This window comes from Homo sapiens, chromosome 4, assembly GCF_000001405.40.
Source record: "Homo sapiens chromosome 4, GRCh38.p14 Primary Assembly".
Taxonomy (NCBI): domain Eukaryota; kingdom Metazoa; phylum Chordata; class Mammalia; order Primates; family Hominidae; genus Homo; species Homo sapiens.
Window position 1 is genome coordinate 69388403 of NC_000004.12, and position 15887 is coordinate 69404289.

Consider the following 15887-nt stretch of genomic DNA (forward strand, 5'->3'; position numbering starts at 1 on the left):
AAAAAATAACCTTTTTGGTTGTGTGAAAGAAAAGGGTGGGCAAGGTTGTGGAGACATTGAAACCCTCATACATTGTTGGTGAGAATAGAAAATTATTCACTCACTCTGAAAAAGTCTAGCAATTCCTCAAAAGGTTATATTTACATTTACCACATAATTCAGTAATTGCCTTTCTAGGCATATCCCCAAGAAAAATAAAAACATGTCCACAGAAATGATGCACATCACTGTTAATAAATGCTATTCATAGTGGCCAAAAGTGGAAGAAAATCAATATCCATCAACTGATAAATGAATAAATAAATTGTGTTTATAAATAGCATCTGATACTATTTGGCAATAAAAATGAAGTCCTTATTTACACTGTTCTATGGTCGGTCCTTTAAAAACATTAAACTAAATAAAAGAAGCCAACCACAAAAGTCCACATATTGTATAGTTTCATTTATATTTAAAAAGATCCTGAATAGGTACATTTGTAGAGGGAGAAATTAGATTACTAGTTGCCCAGTGCAGGATGGATGCAGAAATTCAGTGGGGAGAAGAGAGCTAATATACAGGATTTTTTTTTTTTTTTAGATAAAACTCATTGTTATGTTGGATGCACAAATCTGTGAATTTACAAGGAAATACTTAATTTAAAATAATAATTGATGGAGCATACGGTATTTGGATTATACTTCAACAAAGTTTTACAAGATAGTCCTTGAACCACGATATTCAAAAACGCTATTTGCATTGTACAGTCATTTCATCTCTTACTCTGTGTCAAGGGCCCTGCAGGACTCTCTCACTTGCCACTGTTCTTGACACTATTATAAAATACGTTACATAAAACAGGGTACTTGCAAGGTCATAATCTTAGGTGGATGACAGCGAATATAAACATAAAAGAAACAGCAAACATCCTTGAGTAAATATGAAGTAATCCAACTTTGTTTGTCTTCTTGCCATCCATGGACTCAGGATGTTCATATAATGTATTTACTTTGAATTGAAGGAGTTATGTTTTAACTTGATTGATTTATCTCTGTATATAAGTATGAGAAAGAAACAGTGACTTGAAAAGAATGATCACATTGCACCAGGATGGCTCTGAAATGGACTTCAGTTCTTCTGCTGATACATCTCAGTTGTTACTTTAGCTCTGGGAGTTGTGGAAAGGTGCTGGTGTGGGCCACAGAATACAGCCATTGGATGAATATGAAGACAATCCTGAAAGAGCTTGTTCAGAGAGGTCATGAGGTGACTGTACTGGCATCTTCAGCTTCCATTCTTTTTGATCCCAATGATGCATCCACTCTTAAATTTGAAGTTTATCCTACATCTTTAACTAAAACTGAATTTGAGAATATCGTCATGCAACAGGTTAAGAGATGGTCAGACATTCGAAAAGATAGCTTTTGGTTATATTTTTCACAAGAACAAGAAATCCTGTGGGAATTATATGACATATTTAGAAACTTCTGTAAAGATGTAGTTTCAAATAAGAAACTTATGAAAAAACTACAAGTCAAGATTTGACATCATTTTTGCAGATGCTTCTTTTCCTTGTGGTGAGCTGCTGGCTGAGCTATTTAACATACCCTTTGTGTACAGTCTCCGCTTTACTCCTGGCTACACAGTTGAAAGGCACAGTGGAGGACTGATTTTCCCTCCTTCCTACATACCTATTGTTATGTCAAAATTAAGTGATCAAATGACTTTCATGGAGAGGGTAAAAAATATGATCTATGTGATTTATTTTGACTTTTGGTTCCAAATGTGTGATATGAAGAAGTGGGATCAGTTTTACAGTGAAGTTTTAGGTAAGAATTTGAAGCAAAGCTTATATAAAGCCATAAAGACAGGGAAGTGTAGTTTTTGTTAAGTGAATTTATGAAATGAAAATACAAGATGATCTATCAATCTCACAAACATTATAGAAAAGCTTAAATTATAAGGTCTGTTAAAACCCTGTGGCCATCACTCATACAGAACACCCCAGGAAATCATAAACCTATATGTTAGTACACCTAAGACTTTAAGCAATTACACATCTGTTTTACTATATAATGTTTTAGATCTTAAAAACAGTAAAATCCATCAAGTAACATCTTACCCAATGTATAGATTTAGAATGAGTAATTACACATTTTTCTACAGCAATCTATAAAATGGCAGAAATTTTTCCTTGTAAACCTCAGTTTTCTTTTTAAAAAATTAAAAGATATTCCCACGTTACCAGAAGGTTTCCTTCACAGTAGAGAGAGATAATGTCTACATCTCAGATGCAAAAATCAATAAGGGTAATTTGAAGTTTCTAATGTTTCTATACTCCTTCACTAAAGAATTGGAATTCATTCATTTGAAGTCCAATTATCTTGTTGAAGTGTGAAGGTTGTTAGATCTATATAGTTAATTTGAAGCTATGTCTCTTTATTTAAAAATATGAGACAGATTAAATTTGAGTACAGATCACTATTTCAATAATTTCTCAAAAATATCTAGCTATAATTTACAAATATATTTACTTAAAAGGTAATATTATTAAGATCTTAGCTCAAATCCAAATGAGTAGTTGGTACAAGGATTTCTGCCACACTCTCAAAATAGTCCAGAGTTCACTTGAAGAACCAAGGATAAAAGGATTAGCTAAATGAGCTGTGTAAACTAGACTGTTAGAAAATTGTTTTTATGGGTACAGTAGAATTAATTGATTATGGAGCTCAAAGAGTTGTTTAAATATCTATATGCTACTATTGAAGCTTTAAAGAGAAAATAAATTGATGTTTAATTATCTATGACTCATTTTAATAATTGTGAGTATACTGACATGACATTAGAGATGTAGCTTAACCTCATAATTCTCCCACCACTTTGCCTTTCTTATAAATAAACATGGGCAAAATATATAATACATAAAAATATATTATTCATATATATGAATATATGTATATATTTTTCAAAGCACACAAACTTTACCTACATCTTTGCCTACGTTATTCTAACCCCTTTGAGAAAGTTATATAAAGTAATTATCTTACGTCATCCACTTTTTCTTTTCTTTATTCCTGTCAGGAAGACCCACTACCTTATTTGAGACAATGGGGAAAGCTGACATATGGCTTATGCGAAACTCCTGGAATTTTCAGTTTCCTCATCCTTTCTTACCAAACGTTGATTTTGTTGGAGGACTCCACTGCAAACCTGCCAAACCCCTACCTAAGATAAACATACTTTCGTTGGTTTTATTTTGTTGGCTTCGAAGTTTCAGTAGAAATGAGTCTATAGTTTTCATTCAGAATGTTTGACTTACACTGAAAGAAAGATGGGAAGTAGGTGGTGTAAAGCAGATACCAATTAGAAACTCATGTACATGTTAATACCATCACACATATGTGAGTTTTATGCATATTACAGAGAGAGAGGAATAGTAAGGAGACTTTGAAAATAGAGTTGGTTAAAGTAAAGTCTTGATTATGCAACACCTAAGAAGGTATTGATCATTCATTCAGAGAATATTTATAAAGGGATTAGCACAAAACACAAGTAAGTGCAGAAATTTCAGAGAAAAAAAAAGACACAGTTTCCGTCCCTACATACTTTACATTCTACTTTGAAATATAGAATATAAGTAATTAATGAAAATGTTATAAAAAACTATTATCTCAAGGAAAAACCCAATGTCAAGAAAGCATCAGTGGAGATAATAGAAAGTATCCTGGAGTTACTGATTAGTAAGATGAGATCTGAACAATATGTAGGAATAGGTAAAAGAACGACGGGGAGGGGCAGACAAAAAGGGAAAGCAGATAAAGTGGTCAGGACAGCTCTCAAGTCCTCAGGTTTTGTTTTCAGGGAATGATTAAGAATCAGATGATATTAAGAGGTAAATTAGAGCCAGATATGTATTAGGAGTGGAAATATTTGTTAAGAATATTGAAAAACTACTAAAAAGAGTTAAGAAATAAATATATATGAAATGATTCTCTTTTTTAAGAAAAGCCTCCAAGATATTCAATGGATTAAATTACAGAAGGGCCACACTGTAAAGAGCCAACCATTCAGGAAATTTTGCATGGATTCAGGTAGCAGATGATGGAAAAGTGGACTAGAATGTTGATAGAAATAATTATGCCTACATTTACTAAAATAGTGCCAAATTCATATTGTGTTGTGTGGAAAAAAATATTAAAACAGACAAAACACTTAAAATGTCTCTGGCATACAGTCAGTGGCTCAGAAATGTTATTAATTTTGCAATTATGGTTATTTTATTACTAATACTACTAACTACTTAACATGTGCAAGTCACTTGAGATATCATTCCTCATTTAAGAGAACCAGATTATTCAGCACATCAAGGTTATATTCTCTTGCAAAGTCATAGATGACAGATACCCTGTGGACTTGATTAAAATTAGACATATCAATTGTGACAGCAAGTTGAGCTACTTGAAATTCTAAAATTCTACCATAAGTAAAAAGGATCTTCACCAGTATTCCAGCTTAAAACCCTTCCTCAACAATATAAATGTGTGCCTTAAATATGTGCAGACAAACCCAGGGTTCACTTGACTTTAATAAAGTATTTAAATCATTTCTGCATTGAGATCCCAGAGTTTTACATTTTAGATCATAAACATACCCTATTAGAGCAGACGATGTCTGCCTTATGACAAGCAACTCAGTAAAGCTTCCTGGGGGAACTTGTCTCAACATCATAGGTGCCTGACAGAGAAGCACAGAGATAGTGAACAATCCATGTATAATAAAGACCAAATAATTTCTACCACTTGTATCTGAATAGTGCCCTTAGTTTCAATATGAAAAAAAATTCTGTCAGCATATAAGATTATATTCTTTTTGAAGGAACACAAAAACCACATATATTTTAAATTAATATCACATTTTAAGACATACGTACAAAGAAAGCCTTCTTCAATGCATTATTACTCAACCTCTTAAAAGAACATTTTTGCTTACATAAAACTGAGATTTTATTCCATTGTTAAAACTCAGTATCTCTGTTTAATGCAAATTGTATGGGCTTTATATAGTCACTTTCTCAAGAGACAAAAGCTGAGGTAAAGACTAATGAAAACTCTGTGCCACTCTACACTACTCTTGAAAGATTTCCCCATTCACATTAAGGGAAACTGACAGTGCAAATTGGAGGAGGAAGAGAGTAGGAGGTGTAAAAGGACAAGAAAAAAGGTTGACTAGTAGTACAATAGTGGTAATTACTAATACTAGGTCTTGTTATTAACTTGCAGAAAGCTTTGAATGCAAGTCAATGGTTGTGAAACCAGTTATTTAACTGTTTATTATGTAAAATAATTGCTAACCCAGGTTGCTTTCTTTTCAATTATATATTACATTCTCAGATAATTTCTATATATTTTAAGAGAATAAGACACTTGAGAAAATGCATCGTGTTTAAAAAATGCATATTGTTATTAATTTTGTAATATATTCACATGAAATCATAAAAAAATCAAGGTGCACCTATTAAACCTTATGGAAAATATTCACAAAATTAACATTAGAAGTAATCCAACATCTTACATGAAAGAATGATTAAAACTTATGTGCATACAATAGCATTAAAATAATTTTATCAATGCAATGTTCAATTACACCCTCAGCCATAATACAAATAGAGTTAGAAAATGATAAATATAACAAGGTGGCAAGTTTTTGCAGGAGGAAATGTATATACAATAAGAAGATTAAAATTTTCTCAATAAGTGTCACATGTATACATTGACCTATATAAATAGGACATATGCTATAATAAAAAACCATATTTTCTATAAATAATATCTCTAGGTAGAAGTTTTAGAAAAATTATTTTTTAAAAAAGTTTTCATACTTTTGTAAAATTTCTTACATTAATTTTGTATTATTTTTTATAATATTATCAGAAAAGGAGAAACAAGCAGTCAATATCAGTGATGAATCTCTAAACAGAGGTTAGATTCCTTCAACACTGGGTAGAAAAACAAGGCTCTGATATCAAGCCAGTGAGATGAAACACTGAAAACGAGTTACATTAAATGTGGCTACAGATGACTGCAATCACACACAACACCTAGAAGCCCCAGGTATTACGTGGAATAGTAGTACAAGGACTCTCACGTTAACGTAAGATTAAAAATCATATTTTAAAAAACACTCTGCCATATGTGGTGCACTGTTTACATTTAGACATTTTTTTCTTTGTTTTGTTAAAAACCATTTGGAAAAGTTTTACCCCAATGATTAAATCTGAAAATATTTAAATTTAAATATTGGTATACATTGGGGAACTCAAATCAGAATAATTCTCAGTCAATTGCAGCCAAGCACATCTTCACCAGGAGTGTAATGTGGTGTGCGTGAGCTACTCAAAAGAGAGACAAGATCCCCTGCAGAAAGGCCTGGTGGCCTCTTCTATTCTGGTGCAAGTGCTGCCTCTGAGACACAACAAAGTGATGATGAGAGCTCCTCACATGCAGTTATAAACAGCACATCAATTTAACAGTGTGATTTCAGGGCAATAGGTGCTCCACCTGAACAATAACCTGAAAGGTACAATTATTCAACTATTAACTATAAACTCTACAATTCTGTATGATAAATGAGACTCTCAGGACTGATTCATAAAAATTCCATATCACAATACTAGACTCAGGAATGTCAGTGATTCTTAACCACCAGCTTTTATTTTCATTTTTTGAAAAACTACTGGAAAACTCTGACAAACTTTAAGTGAAGCATAAAGCATTGTAGAGGAACATAAATGTAGATATAAAATTATCCCAACTGTGAATAGCTTTTCCTCAGTGCCCATATTTAGGGAAGAAAACCACTAATGTCTTCAAACTAAAAGAATTCTACAGAAAACCTGCCTGAAATAAACACAAGTGATTTAGTAGAACAAAAATATAGGATTAAAGCCTAGTGGTGCCACTTTTCCAAGAACTTATATTAGTAATTATAGTATTATAAGTGAAGAGTCTGGGTATATTTTTTCACATTATCTCCCTGACTACAATGTAATAGCTCCATTTCTTTTCTCCATTACACACATGCAGACACATACATACATATACACACATATTTACACAAATATCCTTAACAGAGGCCAACTATCTCAAATATCTTCTTGCAAAGAAACTGAGTGATTGAGTCAGTTAAAAAATATTATTTACTCCAATAATTCCTCAAAATACTTGATTTTCTCTCTTTAATATTTGGTACCAGTTCTTTAGTAGTGCCTGCTGTGGTGATACTCTTTTGTGATGAAACAATTTTTTTTTCACAGGAAATGGAGGAGTTTGTACAGAGCTCTGGAGAAAATGGTGTTGTGGTGTTTTCTCTGGGGTCAATCATAAGTAACATGACAGCAGAAAGGGCCAATGTAATTGCAACAGCCCTGGCCAAGATCCCACAAAAGGTAAGATAAAGTACCTTACTGGTGTGGAAAACTACTGAAAGAGGCTTGAGATCCATATAGAAAGAATATTAAGAGTAGATTGAACTCTTTACAGCCAAATACAGCCTTAAATATGCTTGTATAGCTTCCACTGACACAAGTAATAGTTGTGCCTCAGACTTAGTGGTTACATGTGGCCCTGGGGTAGTTACTGCCCTTGGTATGCCTGAGTGGTTCCTGTTAGTACCAGTGGGAACTCAGTACCCCGTATGTATCCACAAAAGGGAACTTGAGACTCATGGTTATTTTTAATTTCTGATATTAACAGTCATACATACTGCTTAATTTAACTCAATATATTCCAGGTAGGTGAAAATGGTGCTTAATGTAGTCTTTAGAATGACTTTTAGGTGTTTTCAACTAAAAATATATATCCAGAACTGTGTCTTTGTAGAAATACAAGGAAGACTTATGATTATTTTCTTCAAAGCTGTTTTGCTAATCTCAGCAGTATCCAATGAGTGAAGTGAAGAAGATTTGACTTACTCTTGGGCCACCTCTATTACTTATTGTACTCTGGAAGCTCTTGGTGAATGTTTACAATTAAGGAATGTACTATTTCTGTTTGTACTTTAAGTCAAATGCTTATGTGAAATATGTGACAACAAATAGAGAACACTGCCTGAAGCAGGAAGATGAAAGAGAAAGGATGGAGATGGATCCTGACCTGAAGGTGGATCCTGTCCAGTATAAAATGTGGCCCCACAAGGACTCAGCACTAACTACCAGATTAACAACTCCTCCCAATGGAGGCAGCAGAAGGAAGTATAGAAAGGAGTCAAACAGAAGGAAGCCAAGTGGGGGAACAGGTTCAGATGTCCCCTCCATAGAACATAGTAGGAATATATTTTCTTCTATATAAAATAAACAAGGGACCTTTGTGTATTTGTGAATTACTTTTTAATTTCCTATCTGATAAAGCTTTCTTGTAATGACCTCTAACTTTTTGCTGAAACCTGAGTTACTTTAACACTGATGTAGCAAATAAAAGTTAAACACTGTAAATTATTGTTCAGTTTGTGAGGATTGCTTCGGAGTTTCAAAATTAGTAACTTAAAATAAAAATGTCTTGGCTATAGCAGAACATATTATTCACTGTTGTCAAATCTTTGTAGCACGTTGTCTAAGTGTTAATAATCAGTTGACCAAATTCCGCAAAATACAATTTTGAGTTTATTCAATAGCTTTTTTTGTATTCATGATACCAACAGGTTCCTCATTTCTAGGCCAAAAAAAAATCCAAAATTAACAATACTGGTAATATTCTGAATTTGTGTCAAAAATTGTCACTTGAAATTTTTCTTGGAAGTAGTGCTTGATAATTTGTAATTCTAATGAAGTTATACATAAAACCCTAACAGCATTTATTTATTTCTTATAAGTAGCTTATTTTATAGACTTGCTATTTTGTCAATCAAAGGACAACAGGCTCTAATATAATAACCTACCGACAAGTAGATACATTTGAACTTCTTCTCTTATTATTCAAAAACAAATGAATACACTGCAATTAAATTTGGAGATGAAAACGATAAAAAATACATAAAAAAACATATAGGTCATTACTAGATAGCTACTGTTTTATTACACTAGAATTACAATGACTTCCTATAATTTTTTTAACTTTTTTTAGAATATTTTTATTTTTTAAATTAAATTAATTTAACTTTTAATTTTAACTTTTAAGTTCAGGAGTACATGTGCAGGTTTTTTAGATAGGTAAACTTGTGTCATGGGGGTTTGTTGTACTGATTGTTTCATCACCCAGGTATTAAGACTAATATTCATTTATTATTTTACCTGATCCTCTCTTTCCTCCCACCCTCCACCCTCCTATACATCTCAGTGTATGTTGTTGCCATCTATGTGTCCACGTGTTCTCATCTTTTAGCTTCCACTCATAAGTGAGGACATGTCACATTTGGATTTCAATTCCTATGTTAGCTTGCTAAGGCTAATGGCCTCCTGCTCCATCCTTATCTCTGAAAAATACATATTTTTGTTTTCTTATGGCTGCATAATATTCTGTAGTGTATATATGCCATATTTTCTTTATTCATTCCATAATTGATGGTCATTTAGGTTGACTGCATATCCTTGCTATTGTGAATAGTACTGCAACTAACATATATTTTCATGGATCTTTATAAAAGAACAAGTTATAGTCCTTTGGTTATATACCCAGTAATGGGATTGCTGGGTTTCGTGGTATTTTTGCCTCTAGGTTTTTGAGGAATGGCCACACTGTCTTCCACAATGGTTGAACTAACTTACATTCCAATCAGCAGAGTATAAGCATTCCCTTTCTATACAACCTTGCCAACATCATGATATTTTTTGAATTTTTAATAATGGCCATTCTGACTGGTGTGAGATGCTATCTCATTATGGTTTTGATTTGAATTTCTCTAATGATCTGTGATGTTAAGTTTTTTTTCTTCATATGATGGTTGGCCGCAGGTAGGTCTTCTTTTAAAAAGTGTAACAATTTTTTAAATACTTGAACTTTTCATTGACAATCTTACTTTTCTAAGGTACTATTTTGGAAAATCACGGTTTCTTATATATCTAAATCATTATAAAAGTTAAGAAAATAACATGTGAGTATTCTTTTTACATCAGTCTTTGAGTAGATTTATTTACAAACATCCCTTGATCTCATTCCTACCCTTTTTACAGTTCTAACATGCTACAATTTTTGAGTTCCACTCATGGAATAAGATATTCTCTTTACCATAACAGGTTCTGTGGAGATTTGATGGGAATAAACCAGATGCTTTAGGTCTCAATACTTGGCTGTACGAGTGGATATCCCAGAATGACCTTCTAGGTAACACTTTGGTGAACAAATACTGGATATATTAGTAACTGCACATTCGAATGTTAATAGTTCATCTTGAAACATGCTTATTGAATATTTGTTATAGGAAAACAAAAAAGAACTTCTTTATATTTATTTTCCAGTCCTAGGGGGAAAAGAATATGCTATAATTGTTGGCATTTTATGATATACACTCACATTCTCTATGGTCAGAATCAGAGAGAATCTTTACTTCAGGTGTTATTATATCTCACAGAATTTTTCAGTATCTTCCTGGGCTCTCTCTCTGTCTCCTATTTCTACAACTTTACACCTGTTTTCTCCTCTCCTGCAGGGTTATTTCAAATGCCACTAAATATAATAGCTCTTCTATCATCAGTGACTCTGTATTTTCCGGAGGACTACATTCCTAATCTTAATCTTAAAGTAATGACACATTTCATGATGAAGTGTAACCTGTCTTTCCTCAATCCTAGCACCACCAACAACCCACTGCCTGCTGCCTTGCACACCCCACATATCACACTCTGTGACTGTACTTAAAATAACACTTCGTTTCATGCCTCTTTGCTGTCCTCTTTTATGCACATTTAAAAAATCTAGAATGCACTTTTCATTAGTGCAACTGGAAATCTTGCATTAAGTTTTGCAGTCTGAAGTCACACACACCATATAGCCTTCAGTTACATCTCCTAAACAAGTACGTGCTTTTTCGTCTGAAGTCTGAAAAGTAATAGCAAATTAGTTCAATGTGTTATCTAGAAAGCACTGTCACTTTCAGAGCCTTTCATTGTGCATCTCATTTTATTCCTATGAATAATTTTGCTGAAATTCATCCAATCCTAGGTCATCCAAAAACCAGAGCTTTTATAACTCATGGTGGAGCCAATGGCATCTATGAGGCAATCTACCATGGGATCCCTATATTGGGCATTCCATTGTTTGCCGATCAACCTGATAATATTGCTCACATGAAGGCCAAGGGAGCAGCTGTTAGATTGGACTTCAACACAATGTCGAGTACAGACTTGTTGAATGCACTGAAGACAGTAATTAATGTTCCTTTGTGAGTAGAACAATATTTTTCACTAGGTGGTATTTGTGGATAGCTTCTCCTGTCAATAGTGAGGATGAGTTTCATCCTTTTTATAAGGGAGTAATTTTGCAAGAATTTAAACGATTTAACCAATCTGAAATTTGCTTTGCTTTTTATCTGTTATTTAAAAATTGTATTTGCCCCATATATCTAATGAGAAACCAGTTAGTGAAACAATTTTATAAACAAAAATAATTTTAAAATGATATAGATAATATAAAAAATACATTTCTTAAAATTTTAACATAATGAATCCATAGTAGAAAGGAAGAATAAACTTGAAATAATATAATAAAATGTTTTAATTAAATATCCAAAATATCTTAGAATATAACTATTTTCTTGCTGAAAAATTAATTTTTATTATCATTAATGTTACTTACTTGAAAATGAGATTTAATTTTGATATCTTAAAATCCACTTATTTATGCCATAAAATCCAAATATTTTACTATGTTTACAGAGTCATGAAACTATCACCATTATATAATTTTAGAACATTTTTATCAACACGAAAGAAACTTCAATGACACCAAAATCACTTCTCATGACTGCTTAGTCCTAGTCTAACACCAATTTTTTTCTTTCTCTATAGATTATTCTCTCTAGGTGTTTCATATAAATGGAATCATACAGTCTTGGGTGCTGTGTAAATGACATTTCACCTAGCTTAATTTTTTGTTGTTTTTTATGGTTTTTATTTTAATTCATATTGTTGTGTATTTTAATACATTTCCTTTACACTTTTCCTAGAGTACGTCAAATAGTTAATTGTTGCTTGAAGTGATATGTGGTGGGCAGTAAGTCAAGACTTAGGGAATATAAAAAGATTCAATATCATGAAGACTATATGATCCAGCCATAGTGGAAATAAGGGAGGCTAAAAATACTATTACTAAAATATCTTTAAATTTTGGAAATTAACAAAATACACTCCAAAAAAATTTAAAGTCAAGAAGTAAATCATAAGTATGCATGAACTTTTATCTCAGTAATTCTGCTCTCAATTATATACCCAACAGATATACGTAAATATATAAATCTAATGTTATATAGAAGAGTGTTCATGACAGAATTATCAACAGTGTCCAAAACTTATTAGCCACCCAAATATCTATTCATCATAAAATGAAGACATCATCTGTGGTTTATCAATCAACAGAATATTACATAGCAATGGAATTACCTAAGAACTGCTACATTAAAGAAAAAGACACTAATGAGTACATATTATATAATTCAATTACATAAACAAGCAAAACTAATGTTGTTATTCGAAGTCAGGCTAATCCTTAGTTGGAGGCCAAAAGTAGTCACTAAATGGTTCAGAAAAAGAGAGTCATTCTAGGCAGGTTGTGATAGCCTATACCATGACCTGAACAGTAGTTAAATTGGTATCTTCACCTCAAGATGATGTTCAAGATGAACTTCCATTTTTGAACTATTCACTTAGTGTATGTATATTTATCTTTTGTATTTTATATTTAAATATATATTTTGAGAGATATATAAATCATTTACAAAATTCTAGGAAACAAATAGAAAATAAGCACAGAAAATAGAGAAAATCCTAGAGGCTCCATCATAGTCTGGCCAGTAAAAGCCTCTCTTAGAGGTAACACTTAGAGGGAAGCCACAAAAAGGGAGAGACGCATGCCTTGGGTTGTAGCAAGAAAGAATATCTCATGTACCCCATAAATATATACACTTAATATGGACCCACAAAAACTTAAAATTAAACAATTAAAAACCAATTAAAATGCCTTATATTTTCTCTGCTTGAAAAGAACTAAGTTTCTCCCCTGACCTTCCATTTCTACTTTAAAAATATTTGTCAATTAGAAAAGTCCAATTTAAAAGCCAAACTATCTATGATGACTCAAATTAAAATATACAAATTCTCTGTCAATTCTTTGACATTTACTTTGAATTATTTGACACTTTAAAAGCCTTACATAGACTTGATATCTACAGGCAAATTAACTTGCTTTCTGTGTTCGTATCTTTATTTTTATCCTTCAGATATAAAGAGAGTGTTATGAAATTATCAAGAATTCAACATGATCAACCAGTGAAGCCCCTGGATCGAGCAGTCTTCTGGATTGAATTTGTCATGCGCCACAAAGGAGCCAAACACCTTCGAGTTGCAGCCCGTGACCTCACCTGGTTCCAGTACCACTCTTTGGATGTGATTGGGTTTCTGCTGGCCTGTGTGGCAACTGTGACATTTATCATCACAAAGTGTTGTCTGTTTTGTTTCTGGAAGTTTACTAGAAAAGTGAAGAAGGAAAAAAGGGATTAGTTATGTCCGACATTTGAAGCTGGAAAACCTGATAGATGGGATGACTTCAGTTTATTCCAGCAAGAAAGATTGTGATGAAAGATTTCTTTCTTCCTATGACAAAAAAAAAAATCTTTTTGAAATCTACCTTGTCAAGTAAAAATTTGTTTTTCAGAGATTTACCACCCAGGTAATGATTAGAAATATTTTGTGGCAATGAGGAAAACACTAGGGAAAATAAAAAATAATATAAAGCCATATGAGCTCATATTGAAATTTGTTGCACTTATATTGAGATTTGTTGTTTGAATTCACAAGTTACATGAAAAAAATTTTACTCAGCTTAACTATATTTCACACATTTTACATAAACACAAGAACATTAAGAAGTCTACTGACAGTATCAGTACTGTTTTGCACATACTCAGAATAATTTGCTTCATTTTGAACAGAATTCTGTTGTTTTAACTGTTGCTAAAGAAAGTATTACATAGTTAAATTGTATAGAAAGTCTCTCTCTTCCTTTGATATTTTGAGATATGTAGTATTGCTTCCCTTTTATGCTGCATGCAGCTTTATTGTAACATTTTTGCTAAAAATGATGGCCAAATGTTTACTGTTCTAAGAGCTTAAGTCATTTCTCAGTGGAAACTAAGTGGAATTAGAAATATAGCCACTGTTACCTGTTTCCTACTGTAAAATTGAACTATTTTTCTACATCTTTGGTTTCATGAGCAAGTTATATTTTTTCCATATATTTAAAAGTATTTATCTGGTTGATTTTATTCTCATATTTTAATTACTTCAATAGTTATTTGGGAACAGGTGGTGTTTGATTAGATGGATAAATTTTTTAGTGGTAATTTCTGAGGTTTTGGTGCACACATCATGTGAGAAGTGTACCTTGCCCTGAATGTATAGTCTTGTATCCCTCACCCCCTCCCACCCTCCCATCTGAATCCTTAGAGCCCATTACATCATCCTTATGCCTTTGCATCCTAATAGCTTAGATCCCACTTATAAGTGATGATTTACGATGTTCAGTTTTCTATTCCTGAATTACTTCACTTAGAATAATGCTCTTCCACTTCATGCAAGTTGCTGTTAATGCCATTAGTTTGTTTCTTTTTATGGCTTAGTAGTATTCTATGGTGTAGTATGTAAATGCATGTGTATATATATATGTGTGTGTGTGTGTGTGTGTATCAGGGGAACCCGCCCTCAATATTTCAATGTAGGTTCCTTCTATTTTCCATAAGTGTTGGCCAGCTGAGAAATAAAGATAAAGGGTACAAAGAGAGGAATTTTAAAGCAGGGCCACTGGGGATGACATCACATATCCGTAGGACTGTGATGCCCACCAGAGCATCACAGAGCCCCTTTGTCTTGGCCAATTTCTACCATTTAGAAGGAGAGTATTTACCCAGTGCCTGTTTCTTCATTGTATCTAGAAAGTAACTAACTTGCTTTTGTTTTTTAGGCTCATAGGCAAAAAGGACTTGCCTTATCCCAGATGAGACTTTGGATTGTGGACTTTTGAGTTAATGCTGAAATTAGTTAAGACTTTGGAGAACTGAAGGGAGTGCATGATTGGTTTTAATATGTGAGGACCTGATATTTGGAAGGGGCCAAGGGAAGAATGATATGATTTGGCTGTGTCCTCACCCAAATTTAATCTTGAATTGTAGCTCCCATAATTCCCACCTGTTGTGGGAGGAACTTCGTGAGAGGTAATTGAATCATCGTAGCACATCTTTCCCATGATATTCCCATGATAGTGAGTAAGTGTGTTGAGATCTTATAGTTTTATAAAGGAGAGTTTCCCTACACAAGCCTTCTTGCCTGCCTCCATGTATTACATAACATTGCTTCTCATTTGCCTTTGTCATCATTGTGAGGCCGCCCAAGCCATGTGTAACTGTGAATCTATTAAACCTCTTTCCTTTATAAATTACCCAGTCTTGGGTATGTCTTAAGTAACAACATGAGAATAGGCTAGTACAATATCCTAAAACTATAAAACCCTAGAACAAATCAGGAGAATAGAACATAACTGAACTAAAAAGCCTCTGTGCAACAAAAGTAACTATCAACAGAATAAACAGATGACTTACAGAATGGGAGAATATAATTGTAAACTATGCATCTGATAATCGCCTAATATCAAAAATCTATAAGGAACTTAAACAAATTAACAAAACATACACAAATAACTCCATTAAAAAAT

At 32.9% G+C, this 15887-nt stretch overlaps 1 pseudogene; it reads left to right on the forward strand.

The window, feature by feature from the left end:
• On the forward strand, positions 1064-14091 carry UGT2B25P (UDP glucuronosyltransferase family 2 member B25, pseudogene; annotated as a pseudogene).
• Positions 14092-15887: the final 1796 nt, after the last annotated feature.